The sequence below is a fragment of the Homo sapiens genome, chromosome 12 (assembly GCF_000001405.40).
Source record: "Homo sapiens chromosome 12, GRCh38.p14 Primary Assembly".
Classification (NCBI taxonomy): Eukaryota; Metazoa; Chordata; class Mammalia; order Primates; family Hominidae; genus Homo; species Homo sapiens.
Window position 1 is genome coordinate 79,250,039 of NC_000012.12, and position 15,909 is coordinate 79,265,947.

The 15,909-nt window shown below is 35.2% G+C and overlaps 1 protein-coding gene across 16 annotated transcripts in view, besides 1 other annotated feature; it reads left to right on the forward strand.

The window, feature by feature from the left end:
• The window catches only part of SYT1 (synaptotagmin 1), a 588,027-nt gene that overhangs the window by 386,057 nt on the left and 186,061 nt on the right, over window positions 1-15,909 (forward strand). The gene's annotated exons all lie outside the window — the stretch shown is intronic.
• Window positions 2,371-2,665: a silencer, noted in NCBI's record as "tiled region #15006; HepG2 Repressive non-DNase unmatched - State 24:Quies". NCBI's record gives its function as "represses a minimal TATA promoter and a strong SV40 promoter by Sharpr-MPRA in HepG2 cells {active_cell/tissue: HepG2}" and the evidence as "EXISTENCE:reporter gene assay evidence [ECO:0000049][PMID:27701403]".

The following is a 15,909-nucleotide window of genomic DNA, read 5'->3' on the forward strand; positions in this document are numbered from 1 at the left end:
TTAATCTTCATGCAATTCTATAAGATGAATATTATCATTATTTCCATTTTAGAGAAATTAACTTACCCAAAGTTTTACCAATAATATGTATCTAGGAAGATACAAAATCTATCTAAAAGTGGTTGACAAAAAATACCACTGCATAGGTGAAAGGAGGATTCAGGACAAGAGTTGAACATCCCTTTTATAGAAGTCCTTCCAGGAAAAAAAGGAACATGGCTTGGTGTGTCTGACTTCCAGAATATGATACCTCCCAGTAAGAAAAAGCTCTTATTTCTTGTTCTTACTCACTCTTTATTAATAAATACAATTCCGGTATGTAAACATATTCCTCCGTATTCCTAATAAGGGCTTTCCTGGAACACTCACGTTGAATCACCCTCAGATATGTCAATTTCCTTGAGTCCAGCAAGAACAGACCACTTAAAATATTTCAAATTTGAGGGTAATTACCGTGCACAACTTTGGTATATCTCTGCAGTGTTTTTATATCTGTGGAAATGTATTTATAATTTATACTGCAGCAACAATAAAAATCTGTGAACAAAATGGTGAAGTCAGTGATTTTAGGATGATCCAATTCTGGTCATTTTGTTATAATAACCCAGAACTAGAAGAATCTTCATATGATAAAATGGATGATCTATGAATTGTATTTTAGGTGGGGGGAACTCAACTTCAACTTGTGTGTTAAGGGGAATTTTTTGTTTGTTGGTTTGTTTAAGAATTAAGAAGTAGCCACCTACCCTGGCTTCCACAAAGCTGGACACCAAAGGGCAAATTATGTTATCAGCATTTCGTTTTTTCTTTTTCCATCTTTGGCTTGGCTTTCTTCAGGTTTTAACATCTCTCTTAGGCAGGTGTCCTCTACATGTTGGTTATCTGGCAGCTCAAGGTTTCCATTCAACTAGTGGAGCAGCTCAGCATAAAGTGACTTTTCACTTTATGCTGAGTGCCTACCATGTGACAGCATTGTACTCAATGTGGAAATACATCAGTAAAGAAGACTGCAAAATTTCTACCCTTCTGTTGCCTTTTCTAGTTCTAGCATTTGTCACAATAGTCTCAAGTCTGAGTACTACTAATACTGACTTGGGTCATGTACTCAGCTATAGACTAATCATTTTGCCCTGGAGGAATGAAATCTCCTGACTCACCAGACCTGAGACTTATATCCACCCTTAAAGAAGGGAAGAATCACTAATACTCTAATTACCCTGATTAACAATGAGGAAGCATTATTTTTCCAGAGAGGAATTTGAGTGCTTTTACCAAACAATGGATATGAACCTGGAGGGAAAAAAAAAATCAATTAAAACTCCAAAATCCAAATTCAGGAAAATTAAATGAGGAAATCTCCCCAGAAAATAAATAGAACTTGCTCAGATAAGAGAAAATGGAAATTTGAGTCAAAATAAGCCTCCTTAGTCATCAAATCTAGATACTCCCTCACCCAGTCAACAAGCGCAGGTAGCAAAATAGTCTTCCCATAAAGAGTAAGTTGGTGGATGAAGTTGCACTTCTATGGATAACCACACTCTGTAGTCATCGCCTGAATGCATTGTCTGAGGTTTATAACTTCTATTTATAGAAGTTCAGCACTCACCAAGTGAAGAGCTCTGGGCTATAGATACTTGCTTCCTTCCATGGACAGTAAAAAGTGTGTTCAATCTTGACTTAACCCCAAGTGAGTAGAACTCAGGCTGTTAGTGATTGAGGCCTCAGGCTTGGTAATTTATAAAATATACTTTGCTTTTCTGTTTTATGGAGGAAAACCTGCTTACTTCCATGCTTTGGAAAAACTGATTCAAAACGTGTCTAATATGCTGACTTCAACTAAGTGTATAGTAACTGATAAATATCTCCTAATGGAGTTTTATTTTTTTTTCCAATAACAGTGTTATGGTAGTTGAATATATGTTTTTCTTAACAAGATAGATGATTGATAGATAGATAGATAGATAGATAGATAATATATAGACAGATGTGTATCTATATATCTATGGATATTTGAAGAGCAAAAATTTACAGATTTATGACATGGTAGAGCATGTTAGTTACCAGCATAGATTTCACAGCTACACGGCCTAAGTTTAGTAAAAAATCATGACTCTATCATTAAGCTTCTAAATGTGAGCAAGAACCTACTCTGAGATTTTCATCAGAGAAATGAGAATAAAAATGGTACTCACATTATAAGATTATTGTACATATTAAATGCATTAATATTAAAAATTTAGAACAATGGCTAATTTATTGTTGACATTCAATAATTTTAAGGATTATTATCATCATCATCATCATCATCACCATATTTAGTATACATTCACTGCAAGTAACAGGATTCTTAAGCAGAGGTAGTGGTCATTAGTACTGTTCAAAAAGTATTTCTGACTGCGCCTGCTTAGGGGCACTTGGCAGAATTGCACTTTTTTTACTCTCTTGTGGGTAGAATTGTGTGATTCATTCTGACAGGGAAGTTGTGAATGGAAGTGATATGCTTCACTTCTGGGATAAGCATTTGATTGTTGATATGAGATCATCCAGACCTCATTCTTCTTTCAGGAACAGAAACCAGCAATTTTGCAGGTGCTCCTGCTCCATCAACCCAGGTCTCTAAGTGACTGCAATAAACAGAAGTTCTACTGATCCACCGTAGACCTGTAGCATGAGTGAGAAATAAGCTTTTGTGGTGTTATACCCCTGAGACTTCGGATTGTTTGTGACATTACTGGTGCATAATCTAACTTATCCTGACTAATACAGCCACCTTACACAATAACGCATTTAACTTTCTCAGATAAAGTCAAGTAATGGAGAAGGAAGTTCCAGAGCTAGTTGACAGGTTGAGCCAGTAATTCTGAGCCTTCTCTGAATCATTAAAGAACAGCTGTGGCAGCTCCAAACATCATATTCCCACATAGCAATACAATCAGGAAGTGGAATGGTGGGGAGCAAAGGCAAAAAGGATCTTTTCCCCTAGTGCTCTCTCTTTTATCAGGGAGGAAAATATTTTCTGAAAGTCTCCTCCAGGTTTCCATTATATCTTACTGTTAGTGCTAAATCTTATATCCAACCCTAGACCAATCAATGACAAAAAGAAAAAAACTATAAGCTTGCCACATTTTATCATGTTTCACTGTATTGCACTTTAAAGATACCGCAGATTTTTTTACAAATTGAAGATTTTTAGTAAATCTGTGTCAAGCAAATCAATGCCATTTTCCCCAAAGCTACGCTCACTCTATCTCTCTCATGTCACATTTTGGTAATTCTTGAAATTTTTAAATCTTTTTCATTATTATTGTATCTGTTATGGTGATCGGTGATCTTTGATGTTACTATTGTAATTGGGGGCACCAAGAACTATGCCCATATGAGACAGTAAACGTAATCCATAAATGTGGTGTATGTTCTAACTGTTCCACCAAAAGCCATTGCCCAGTCTCTCTCTCTCTCTCTCTCTCTCTCTCTCTCTCTCTCTCTCACCTCAGAAAGCTTCCCAATTCTCTGAGACACAACAATATTGAAATTAGGCCAATTAATAATCCTGCAATGACCTCTAAGTGTTCAAGTGAAAGGAAGAGTCTTGTGTCTTTCACTTTAAATCTAAAGCCAGGAATGATTAGGCTTAGTGAGGAAGGCATGTTGAAACCCAAGACAGGCTGAAAGCTAGTCATCTCGCACAACTTAGCAAAGTTGTGAACGTAAAGGAAAAGTTCTTGAAGGAAAAGTGCTACTCCACTGAACACACAAATCACAAGAAAGTGAAACAGCCTTATTGCTGATGTGGAGAAAGTTTCAGATAGAAGGTCAAACTAGCTACAACTACCTAATTTGATGCCTAATCCAGAGCAAGATCCTAACTCTCTTCACAACTCTATGAAAGCTGAGAGAGGTAAGGGAGCTGCAGAAAAACAGTTTGAAGTTGGTTCATGAAGTTTAAGGAAAGAAGTTGCCTCCAGACCATCAAAGTGCAAGGTGAAGCAGGAAGTGCTGATGGAGAAGCTGCCACAAGTTTTCCAGAAGACTGATGAAGGTGGCCACACTAAACAACATGTCTTCCACGTAAATAAAGCAGCCTTGCATTGGAAGAAGACTTTCATAGGACTTTCATAGCTAGAGAGAAGTCAATGCCTGGTTTCAAAGTTTCAAAGGACAGGCTGACTCTTAGTAGGGATGAATGCAGCTGGTTGAAGCCAGTGCTCATTTACCATTCCAAAAATTTTACAGCCCTTAAGAATGATGACACAGCTACTCTTCCTATGTTCTATAAATGGAACAACAAAGCTGGATGGCAGCATATCTGTTTACAGCATGGTTTATTGAATATTTTAAGCCCATTGTTGAGACCTGCTGCTCAGCCAAAAAAAAGATTATTTTCAAAATATTACTGCCCATTGACAATACACACAGTCACCCAAGAGCTCTGATGAAGACGCAGGAGGAGATTGATGTTGTTTTCATGCTTGTTAACACAACATCCTTTCTGAAGCCCATGGATTAAGAAGTAATTTTAACTTTCAAGCCTTATTATTTGAGAAATACATTTTGTAAGACTGTAACTGCTGTATATAGTTATTCTTCTAATGCAGCTGAGGAAAGTAAACTGAAAATCTTCTAGAAAGTATTCATCATTCTAGATGCCATTAAGAACATTCATGATTCATAGGAGGTCAAAATATCAACATTAACAGGAGTTTGGAAGAAGTTGATTCCAATCCTTATGGATGACTTTGAGAGGTTCAGAACTTCAGTGGAGAAGTTAAATGCAGATGTGATAATGGCAAGAGAACTAGAATTAGAAGTGGAGCCTGAAGATGTAACTGAATTGCTGCAATCTCATGATAAAACATTAACAGATAAAGAATTGCTTCTTATGGATGAGCAAAGAAAGTGGTTCCTTGAGATGGCATTTACTCCTGGTGAAGATACTATGAACATTATTGAAATGACAACAAAGGATTTGGATTACTACATAAACTTATTTGATAAAGCAGTGGCAGGGTTTGAGCAGATTAACTCTGCCTTCAAAAGAAGTTTGGCTGTGGGTAAAATGTTATCAAACAGTATCACAGGCTGCAGAGAAAGCTTTCATGAAAGGAAGAGTTGGTTGATGCAGCAAACTTCATAGTTATCTTATTTTAAGAAATTGCCACAGCCACCCCAAACTTTAGCAACCACCACCCTAATTAGTCAGCATCCATCAGCCTTCAACACAGAAGCAAGACCCTGCACCTGCAAAAGATTATGACTTGCTGAAGGCTCAGATGATCGTCAGCATTTTTTTAGCTATAAAGTGTTTTTAAGTTAATATATGTACATTGATTTTTAGACCTAATGCTATTATATACTTAACAGGCTACAGTATAGTGTAAACAGAACTTTTATATGCACTGTGAAACCAAAAATTCATGTGACTCACTTTATTGCAATATTCATTTTATTGTGGTGGTTTGGAACCAAGCCTGCAATATCTGTAAGTTATGCCTGTACAAAACTGACTTAATTTGGTCATAATCCATCTCACACATCTGGGAAAGGAACCTACTATTCTTGAGTAAATTAATCCCTGCATAATACCAGAACAATTCAGCACTCTCTTAGCAAAAAGTAAGGAAGAAGAATGTCTATGTAACCAGGAACGTTTTTCATAAGAGTAATGGCCTTCTACAAGACTCTGTGGAATTGAAAGATTTCTTAAAATGAGGTGCCCTTGTGTTTGCAGTATATGCAGTTTTGTCTCAGGAGAGAGTTTTGGGTCTACTGAGAAGAAACTGAGGTATACTGATAAGTTTCACTGCTTGTGTATTGTAGTGGATAATGTGGATTTCTAAATAGATTTGCTCTGCCACATTATTAGACAGATGCCTAATAATTTAATGTACATTAAAGTATGTTAATAGGGAGAATGTGTAATCATAAATTAATTACCAAGATTATGATTATCCCAATTTTAAACAGTGCTTGAATTAAAATATATCCCTAGAATACAAAATGAATAGTGGCTTACGTGTTCTAAGGTGAGAGATAAGGGCTCTGCAACCACTTGTGGCTTTGGAAAATGACATATTTTGCAGTTTGAAAGCATGGATTTCAGTTAAACATTAAAAGCAGATGACTGCCATGACTATCTGTAACATGATCATGCAGGACAATGAGAGAAACGGCAAAAGAAATTCTGCCTTTCGGCACATATTTTCTCTACTAATATTTGCAATGCCAATTTTCAACAGCACAGGTGTATTTAATTGCCTCTGAATATTGCAATGCAAACCCATTCAATGTTGAAAACAGGAGCCCAAAAAGGAATCTCAGGCTTTGTTGGCCTGCAGAATCTTGTAGCTCCAGATTGATTTTAATATATCCAGGGAATTTTTTTTCTTTGTCATTGCGCTTTCTTTAGAAGGGCATTTAAATTATCAAACCATTACCTTATCAAGCACAAATGTGATGCCAATTCTTGTGATTTCTGAGTTATATGTGCTAAAAATTACATGAGTTCTATTGAATATTTTTATCAAGTCCAGTGATAGAAACATGTATTTTCTCATGCTGTAGTTCCAAGATCTTTAAAAGGGGTTGGTCAATAACTCAAAACCATTTTTTGATGAAGGGAGATACACTACTAATAGCAGATATGCTTCCAAAAGTTTACAAGCAATAGGAATGCTTCTAAAATTTTTAATGCCAGTTACTCTGCCTGATACAGAAGAAAAATGCCATCTACTCAAGTTAATTAATCCATGTTTCTCATTTGTTTGCCTTACACTTGAGTTTTATCTGAGTAACAATATTACAAAATGTACTTACACAATATGAGAATATTATATTTTACGCAGGGTATACCCATGATTCATCTTTAAATTAACTTCAGGAAATCTCAAATCAAAGCTTCCTAATGTTAACTTCAGCTCCATTTCCAGAGGAGACCATGTTACTAATAAAAATAGCTTCTAGCAACTTGATAAGAGAGTCTCTGTGTGTTTATGGCCAAGATAAATGATCTTAAAGATGTAGGGCACAAAAGAGAATTTTGTTGAATTTAGCCTTAACAGATATTTAGTAGCATGTATCAAAATTCAATTTTATCTGAAACTGAAGAAAACCCATCAGATATTATAATAAGACAATAACTCAATTTCAGACTTGTAAACAAAGGTGACATTAATCTATTGAAATGTGGGAAAATAGTCAACCTGTATCCTTCTCATACCATAAATCAGCATGTTTGATCACTGGAAGCTTCATTTTGATGATTAGCAGTCATGTATTGAGGCTAAATGATATGTTTGTCGCACAGCTAATATTAACTAAATCTATTTATCATCTTGCCAGTGGTACTACAGTGAGGTCACACTTTTGGTGCAGAACAAAAAGAAGCCAGGAATCTGTTAACAGCATCCCATTGTAACATTGCTGTTTTTTGTTTTGTTTTGTTTTGTTTTGTTTTTGTTTTTGAGACGGAGTCTCGCTCTGTCGCCCAGGCCGGACTGCGGACTGCAGTGGCGCAATCTCTGCTCACTGCAAGCTCCGCCTCCCGGGTTCACGCCATTCTCCTGCCTCAGCCTCCCGAGTAGCTGGGACTACAGGCACCCGCCACAACCCCCGGCTGATTTTTTGTATTTTTAGTAGAGACAGGGTTTCACCATGTTAGCCAGGATGATCTCGATCTCTTGACCTGGTGATCCGCTCGCCTCGGCCTCCCAAAGTGCTGGGATTACAGGCGTGAGCCACCGCGCGAATAAACCGAGAAAGAAAAGCATCTGACTATTAACCTCATATACTTTTGGAAATGGATGTTTGTGTCCACATCCCCTTTGATATACTGGGTTATGGCCTTGGCGGTGAAAATTCCTTACTGTATATAGTGGGTTAAAAAAGTAGGATGAATGCTAACAAATGTTTTAGGATGTATCACAACATCTGAATTCTCCCTTCTGATGCTTAGCATTTTATTTCACAAAAGGCAAGGTTACTAAAAGAAGAAAAAAAATCAACTGTTTAGATGAAGAAGCAAAATTAATTAGTAAATATAAAAAGTGATTATTTGAGTTTTGCTATGACAATAAACAAGAATATCTCATTCTCAGAAGAAAGTCAGCTAAAGTACACCTTTATTTTACATATTCCTATGGATTACACATTTAAGAATACTAAGGAATAATCATTCTGATTTATTTTATTTCAGAATGACTGCGATGGTGTTGGAAAACAGGGTTTTATGCTTCTTTTCTTATGTTTTTCTGACTTAACATCTTGTCTGACTTTCAAACAGTTCAAAGGAAAGAGAGTACCAATTAGACAAGGGAAGAAGATGAGAGACTGCCTGAACAGCATCACTTTTGTAAACTGAGAGTTCTTCCAAGGATAGAGTGTGTAAATGCTGACCTACATTAAATACAAGTGACATGGATTTCTGGGCATGTGGGACGCCTTGGTAATTTGAGTGACAAATCACGTATGGTGCGTTTACTACTCTTTTGTGGCTTTAAAGTTAGGTGATTTTGACTCTAAAGCATGAAAGTTCAAAGAGCTGTTAAGATTTCTCTGTGATGTATGCAAGGGTTTTCTTAGGAATAAAAAGTCTAAAAAATTCCCAAGAAGACACTTATGTGTAATAAAAGCATAAAGAAATGTACAGGAATAAAAGCACTAGATTTTGTGTAGAGGTTACCCCTTAGGAAGAGAGAAAAGGATGCAATCAAAGGTAGTCATATGTGGCCTTAGTAGTACCCATACTTTTTTATTTCTTCACTGAGTGTGGGTAAATAAATAATTTTTTACTTGACTTAATTTTAATAATATTTGAAAGAATTAAAGAAGTCCATGAGGTAATGTGAAAACTTGTAATGAAAAAGGCTGAATACAAAATTGTATATGCTGGGATGACAACTCTAAATGTTTGTGTGGAGATGGGGACAAGAAGAAATAGAAAGAGTTAACTTGCTAAGATGGCAGAATTATGAGAAATTTGGACAGAAATTGATGAGAAAAGTGATTTGAGGTTTTGGTGATGAAGAAAGGGAGAATATAACCTAAGGAAGATTAAAGATTTCACATAAAACTAGGAAATGTTTAGCATAAATCAGTTTCACCAATTTGAACCTGGTCTTCCTCTCTGTCCTCTCCCTTGTACTCACCAAATCATTTTACAATCTTCCAATAAGGAAAAATACTTCCTTTGGTATGAATGTCTAGAATTAATATTTATAGTTCTACAAAAAAATTCAGAGCTCTTAACCTAAAACAAGTGAAAGTACAATCATTGTTTTTAAATGTTACAAATACAATACCTGACATTAAATTGTATTTCCTCTATATTGCATATTCTGAATTTAAAACTGTCTAACACCTTTAAGCTTAAAGCTTAAATTAGGCATGTAAAACAAGATAATGACAAAAGAAAAGAAGGCCGGATGTGGTGGCTCATGCCTATAATCCCAGCACTTTAGGAAGCAAAGACTGGAGAATGCTTGAGCCCAGGAGTTCAAGATCAGCCTGGGCAACATATGGAGACCCCATCTCTATAAAAAAATAAAAATATTAGCCAGGCATTGTGTCATGCACCTGTGGTCCCAGCTACTCAGGAGGCTGAGGCAGGAGGATCTCTTGAGCCTGGAAGGTAGGGGCTAGAGTGAGCTATGATTGTGTCACTGACCTCCAGCCTGGATGGAAGAGTGAGTCCCTGTCACAAACAGAAACAAAAAAACTCATATTTATTTTCAGAAGGGACTTGATTATGTGGAGCCATATGGGGCAAAGTGCAAATATACCTTAGAACTACTTTAAAATACCTATTATTTTTTCTATAAGTATCCACAGCCAGAAAGAGCAAAACTTGCTGAGTATGATTGGCAAAAAGATTTTCTTTTGTTTTGATTCCACCGTTCCTTATTTTTCAGGCCTTGAATAAAGTCAAATACAGAACTCTTATGAAAAAATTCAGTGTAGAACCTATAATTTAGCTGCGATTGTTCTCTTGGTTTTATTTTATTTTGATCAATTTCAGTCAGGTTCCCTTGATTTCTCTGAAACTGGAGAGTATTGTATTCTAAACGAATGACTTGTCTTTGCTAGTTGAAGTAAATAAGCAATTAGAGCAAAAGGCTGTTTCATTGAACTTCAAAGAAAATTGTTTTTAAGATTCTGTTGTTGTTCTGTGGCCCCTAATAATGCAGACGGTCTTTATACAACAGAAATCTGTCAGAGAAGAAATTTTTATTGGTAGCTAACTTTACACACACACAAACACATGCACACACAACTTCAGAAGCAGAAGCACAAGGTACTTCCTCAGAGAACCACAAATATCATCAAAGTCTTATTTTGACATAATGCTACTTTAACAAGAAATTCAGATTTATGGAATGAAAATTGCTGTAGTAACAAGTATTTTGAAATCCACCCTAATACCCAGAAAGTGACAGCAAATCCCAGTGCTTCAGTAACTCTGAGCCAGTTAAACTGTAGGACAAAATTCTGTTGTGTTCTAGTATCACTGTCTTTCTGAACTAAGACTGTCTTGTGCTTTGGTTGATAGGAAGCAGTGAGGGTCCTGCCTTTCCCAGGTTTGAACTTTCTCAGGTGGTTGAGATCTTCCTTGCAGCTCCTAAATTTCATTATATTTTTCTCTACTCCACAATCCCCATCCAGTAATAAAAATCTATTCAAAAGTTGAAATTAGGAATTCTTCCATTTACATCTAAGCGTTAGATTATTTTTCTAAGGAAAAAATTAAGATTCTGTTTTTACAGAAATCTCATATTTTTTTTTTTAGTAGACTTGGGTCTCAAGCCATTCTGTTAAAAGGGGAAAGGAGTAATATCATTATATTAAAATATCCAACCATATCATGAGATCAAAGGATAAAAACATCTTGAGGATCATTTGGTGAGTCCGTCTACCTGCAGAAATCCTGCATGTCTGCATCACTGTGAACAGCTCAGTATGGCTCAGGGGTCACCTCGCTGTTGGAACTTCAGTGGTCTCACATAGTCCCTAAATCCAAGCCACTGTCATTGTTCTTGGGGGTTGTAAAGGCCATTAAGTGCTCAGTAGTCTTATAAAAACATGCAGATTCTTCAAACAGAAATAATAGCTTTAGTTAGTGTACTTTAGAGCCATAAGTTTAAAACCCAGCAGGAGAATATAAATGATGGCCAGGCAAGAAAAACAAAACTCCCTGCCAACCTTCACTGCCTACAAAACTTAATGATCTATGCCACATCTACTATTTGTAAAATTCTTTCAGAAAGTATCCATTCTTAACATTAAGAAATGTCTACCTTCCTTCCTCCAATATTTTCAATCTCTCTGCCACACTATGTTTATATTCTCTCAGAATTCTAGTGGATCCCATTGTCTAAGACTTAAAAGCTGTTATTTTATACTGGATTAACTTTAATCATCTGTATTTCTTCCAAATTGTAGAGATTGCATTGGTCCAATTTTCTTTTCCTTCAATTTTTAAGAGAAGCAAATCAAACCAAGTCTTTAAAGGAAGCACAGCAAGTCTCAGATAATTTTATTGTTTGGGCCTAATTATTTTAAATGTTACCAAGGAATATCTTTAGGTTAAAAAAATTAAATTTTAGAACAGAATTTGATATATATTTCTTATTATTTAAAATGGGAAAGGGCATTAGCATTTATTAAATCTCATCTGTGTGCCAAGTATTCATAGGTATCACCTCATGTAATTCTCACAGTTATTATTGCGGTATTATTATTTCAATTTTCATGTAAAGAAATAAAAGCTCAAAGAAGAAAATGACTCACTGAGTTCTGAACACACAATTCTCTGAGTCCAAACCTCTAGCACTTTCTAGAATACCATGAAGAGTGGAAGTAATATGTAACATTATAATTAATGTTTTATTATTTTACTCTCTTATTGTTAAATTTCACACAGTAAAATCTACACATAAACATTCATTTTAATTTAAAATCAAATTATACTGACATAGTGCCAAAATAACTGCTCTATGAGATCAATAAATCCAATCTATTCTGATATAGAAAGGCAAAACCCGTGTGCATTGCTTTGTAATAGTAACCAAACAGTCATTATGTTTCAGCCATTTCAGGAACTTATTTGTGATTGTTGTATATTGATTATAATTCTGGTCAGTTGTAGTTAACAAGCCTTTTTTTTCCTTATACTTTCTTTTTTCCAAAGAACCTATTTTGTTTTATAGCATGGTTGGACTTTTCTCTAGAAAATTACAAATGTATTCAATATAACCAGTATTTATCCCAACTTTCTGAAGAAGAAACTTCTCCTACTTAACTCCAACCTTATGACTCTTCTCTGATATTTTTCCAGCCATAGGTGTTAGCATCTGCTGTTGTAAAATCTTTGGTGTTGATTGGTGTGGACTGAGATGAGGACCAGAGCCAAGATCACTTTTTACAAGAAATATACAATTCTGCCCCTTGTCCAACTCTATAAATTACTAGAAGTTTCTGGAAGTGTGTACATCTTCAAGCTCATCTTAATCATTTCCACATTTGTATTCTTGAGATTATACCTGAGATTCTCATCCACACAATCCTTAATTAAAGCAGCTGACTCGCTTCTCACAATATAGGAAAATGGGGGTGCCAACTGCTTTCTCTGCCAACTTCTGAGTACTGTTGAAGCTGAACTAGCTCCTCAACGCTTCTTCTCCAGGAAATGTACTGCAACTCTCATGCTATTTAGCACCTTCCCTCCTCATTTCAAAAATTGTGCTGATCAGAGACATTCAGAAAAAGTGCAAAAGAACAAAACAGCTCCAAATAGCTTTCCACAGTTCTGCACTGTATTCTTCCCTCTGTTGATTTCCCTACAAAACAAATAGGCAAAAAAGCAGCTCACAAAAAAGATAGAGTACATAGAAAAGAGAAAACCGAGGCATAAGACAGCACTGTGTGCTTCAAGAAAGTCCTGGAGCAAAGCTTGGAGCACAGGGTTCAGGTGAGAACTGAAGTTATATTAGCATAAACATATGGTCGCTTACTGCCCCCTCTGCAATGTCCAGAATGCATTCCTAATTTTCATTCCATTTGTCTCCAATGCGTGATAGGACTTCAAAGAGTCATGATTAAAGAAATTGTTCAGTGCAATTAGTCACCACTTACAAGTCAGTGAGCTCGCATTCTGGGGTGAGTGCTAAGCTTTTTCAATAGGAGATAGCACACTCCATTCACTTCTTTGTTGTTCTTTCTTAAGATCCTTCTTCTGGTGATTTTTTTTTTTTTTTTATGTCCAGAGTTCTACTATTTTCTTTCTTTCTGCCTAATAATACTTAATTTAAAATAAATACATCTTTTCAGAAATAATAATTTCATCCTTAGTGAAAACATTTACCCATATCTGCCCACTATATTTTGTGTTTTATATTCTTTCATTTAAAAGTATTAAGATGAACTTCAATTATAAAATCTTACATTGCTTGAAAGACATTTGCCTAAATATGTTATGTGTCTACTGTAGTTTTTCAAAAAATTTTGATTTAAGAAGCCACAAGTATATTAAAATAATTCTATTTCTTCCAGGAAATGGCTGGATTTAGTGATCCTGTAAGGTTAAAAACATTATAATATTTGTATAGTGACCAGGCTCTTGATTTAGATGGTTACATATAAGCAAAATACTGAATGAAGACAAAAAACACAGCTATCCCTTTTATTAAGTTTCATAGCTTTTAATCCCCTAAGGAAATCCTTTAGCTATTTCACTATTTTACTAAATCATATTAAAATGCAAATTTCCACTAATATTACAATTCTAGTCAAAACCACCAAAAGAAAACATGGGCTCTTAAGCTTTTTTTTTTTTAAGTATGAGCACAGACAGCAGAAAATAAAGCTTTCCTGTAAGTGAATATGGCATCTACATTTGAATTATGTACACAGTAAAGGACTAAAAATTGTGTGGTCCTAAGTAAGTTTAAATTCTATTGTCTTTGATTGATTTGAAATAGAATTATCAGAGATTGGATTAATAAAAAGAGCTTGACAGTTCAAAGAAGTAAGCTTGTGATTGGGCTATGATTTTTTCCAAGGATTTTTTGGGCAGTCATATTATTTTCTGTACCTTAAATTTACCATCTATGAATAAAGATAATATTGACTGCATGAAATAATAAGCCCAGCAACTTTTTTTTTTTTTTTGAGATGGAGTCTCCTGTGTCACCCAAGCTGGAGTGCAGTGGTGTGCTCTCTGCTCACTGCAAGCTCCACCTCTCAGGTTCATGCCATTCTCCTGCCTCAGCCTCTCGAGTAGCTGGGACTACTGGCGCCCACCACCACACCTGGCTAATTTTTTGTATTTTTAGCAGAGACGGTAAACTATTCAGTGGAAACGTGATAAAGTTGTTTCTCAATGAAAAATGATCATTATAATGTAAATGTGCATGTAACTAGTTATTGAATAATAAAAGTTGAACTCAAGGTAGCTTTTTCAGTCACTTCAAATACTTGGCCAATTTTGAAGGAAAAAAGAAAGCAGCACCCAAAAGTCTATTGTTGTTGATGCACTATAGAATTGAGAGTGTGTTCAAGCAAAATCTAGCATGTTGCCAATGGAAAGATAGTAAAAATCTTGCTACTAATACCTGCACTGCTCTGCTGAAACATTTACCTCAGGTAGTGTTAGCTGGAATGGCTAATTATTGAAAATACAAAGTACTGCATATTGTTTATTTCCATTAGTACAAATTTAGTATTATTCTAATGCTGCTTGCATTATTTGAATAAGATAAACAATTCTCAGTCACTGTGACTTCAAAGAACTATTCTTTATTCTCCCCAAAGTTTGATTTACTCATTCTATTGTTTATTCATGAATAGCTGTGTACTACCAAATGTCTTGCCTTTCAGTTTTTCAACAGCAATCTTTACTTTAGAACCTTACTCTCACCTTCTGATATATCATTAAGTTTGAACATGTTGAATGCTTTGACGGTTGTATTATACATGTAAAATTGCTTGTATTTCATCTTTTATCTAGACAGCTTTTATAGTTTGGGTTTTTTTCAACCAAGTTTTCAACATTTTTAAGTTATGAAGTTTAACAGGAATTGCTGACAAATGATAATAACTGGCATTTTTAAACTCTTCTTAGTATCCACTACACTAAGTACTTTACATATTATAAATCTATATATTATCACAAATCATTTACAGGGTTTTTATGCTTATCTCTTCTCTCCACCTGGCTCTCATTTTATACAGAGGAAAACTGAAGTTCAGAAAGTTTAACTAACTTGATCAAATTTATTTGGCAATTTAAGTGGCAAAGCTAGGAGTCCAAATCCATGAAACTTCTTATACTTGATACTGCCCTGTTGTTGTTATGATTAATAGCAATTATGTTTTTTGACAAATGATTTTCACTGATTTGGAGTAAATAATTTAAAATTATTTCATTTAAATTAAGCCTGATAGTACTATACTAACTGATACGTTTACAAAACTAAACTCTTCTTAGCTGTAATATCATTAGCATTTGCTCAATTTTCAGCAGAGACACAAAAGAATGCCAGAATATATGGAAAGAGTATGAAAGCTGAACCCCAAGGACCTAAATCTGATCCCAACTCTAATAGGAATCACTTTACAGAAGCTACATTTTAGATCCCCAATGTTATCATCTTTAAAATGAAGATAATGTTAGCTACTTTAGCTATTCTACAATATGGTGTTTAGGATCAAACCAGTTGAGGTCATGTGAAAGGGTCTCAGAAAGTGAAAAAAACTATAAATGAAAGAATTAGACAATACTGCAAGTGCTGCATGCAAGAAGAGTAAAACTATTAGCATTACTAATACAATGTTAAGAGAATCTTTTCAAGAGGATCTGCTATGCAAAAATTATTTAGAAAAACTAATTGACAGAAAACAATTGAGTCTTTCTGTCAT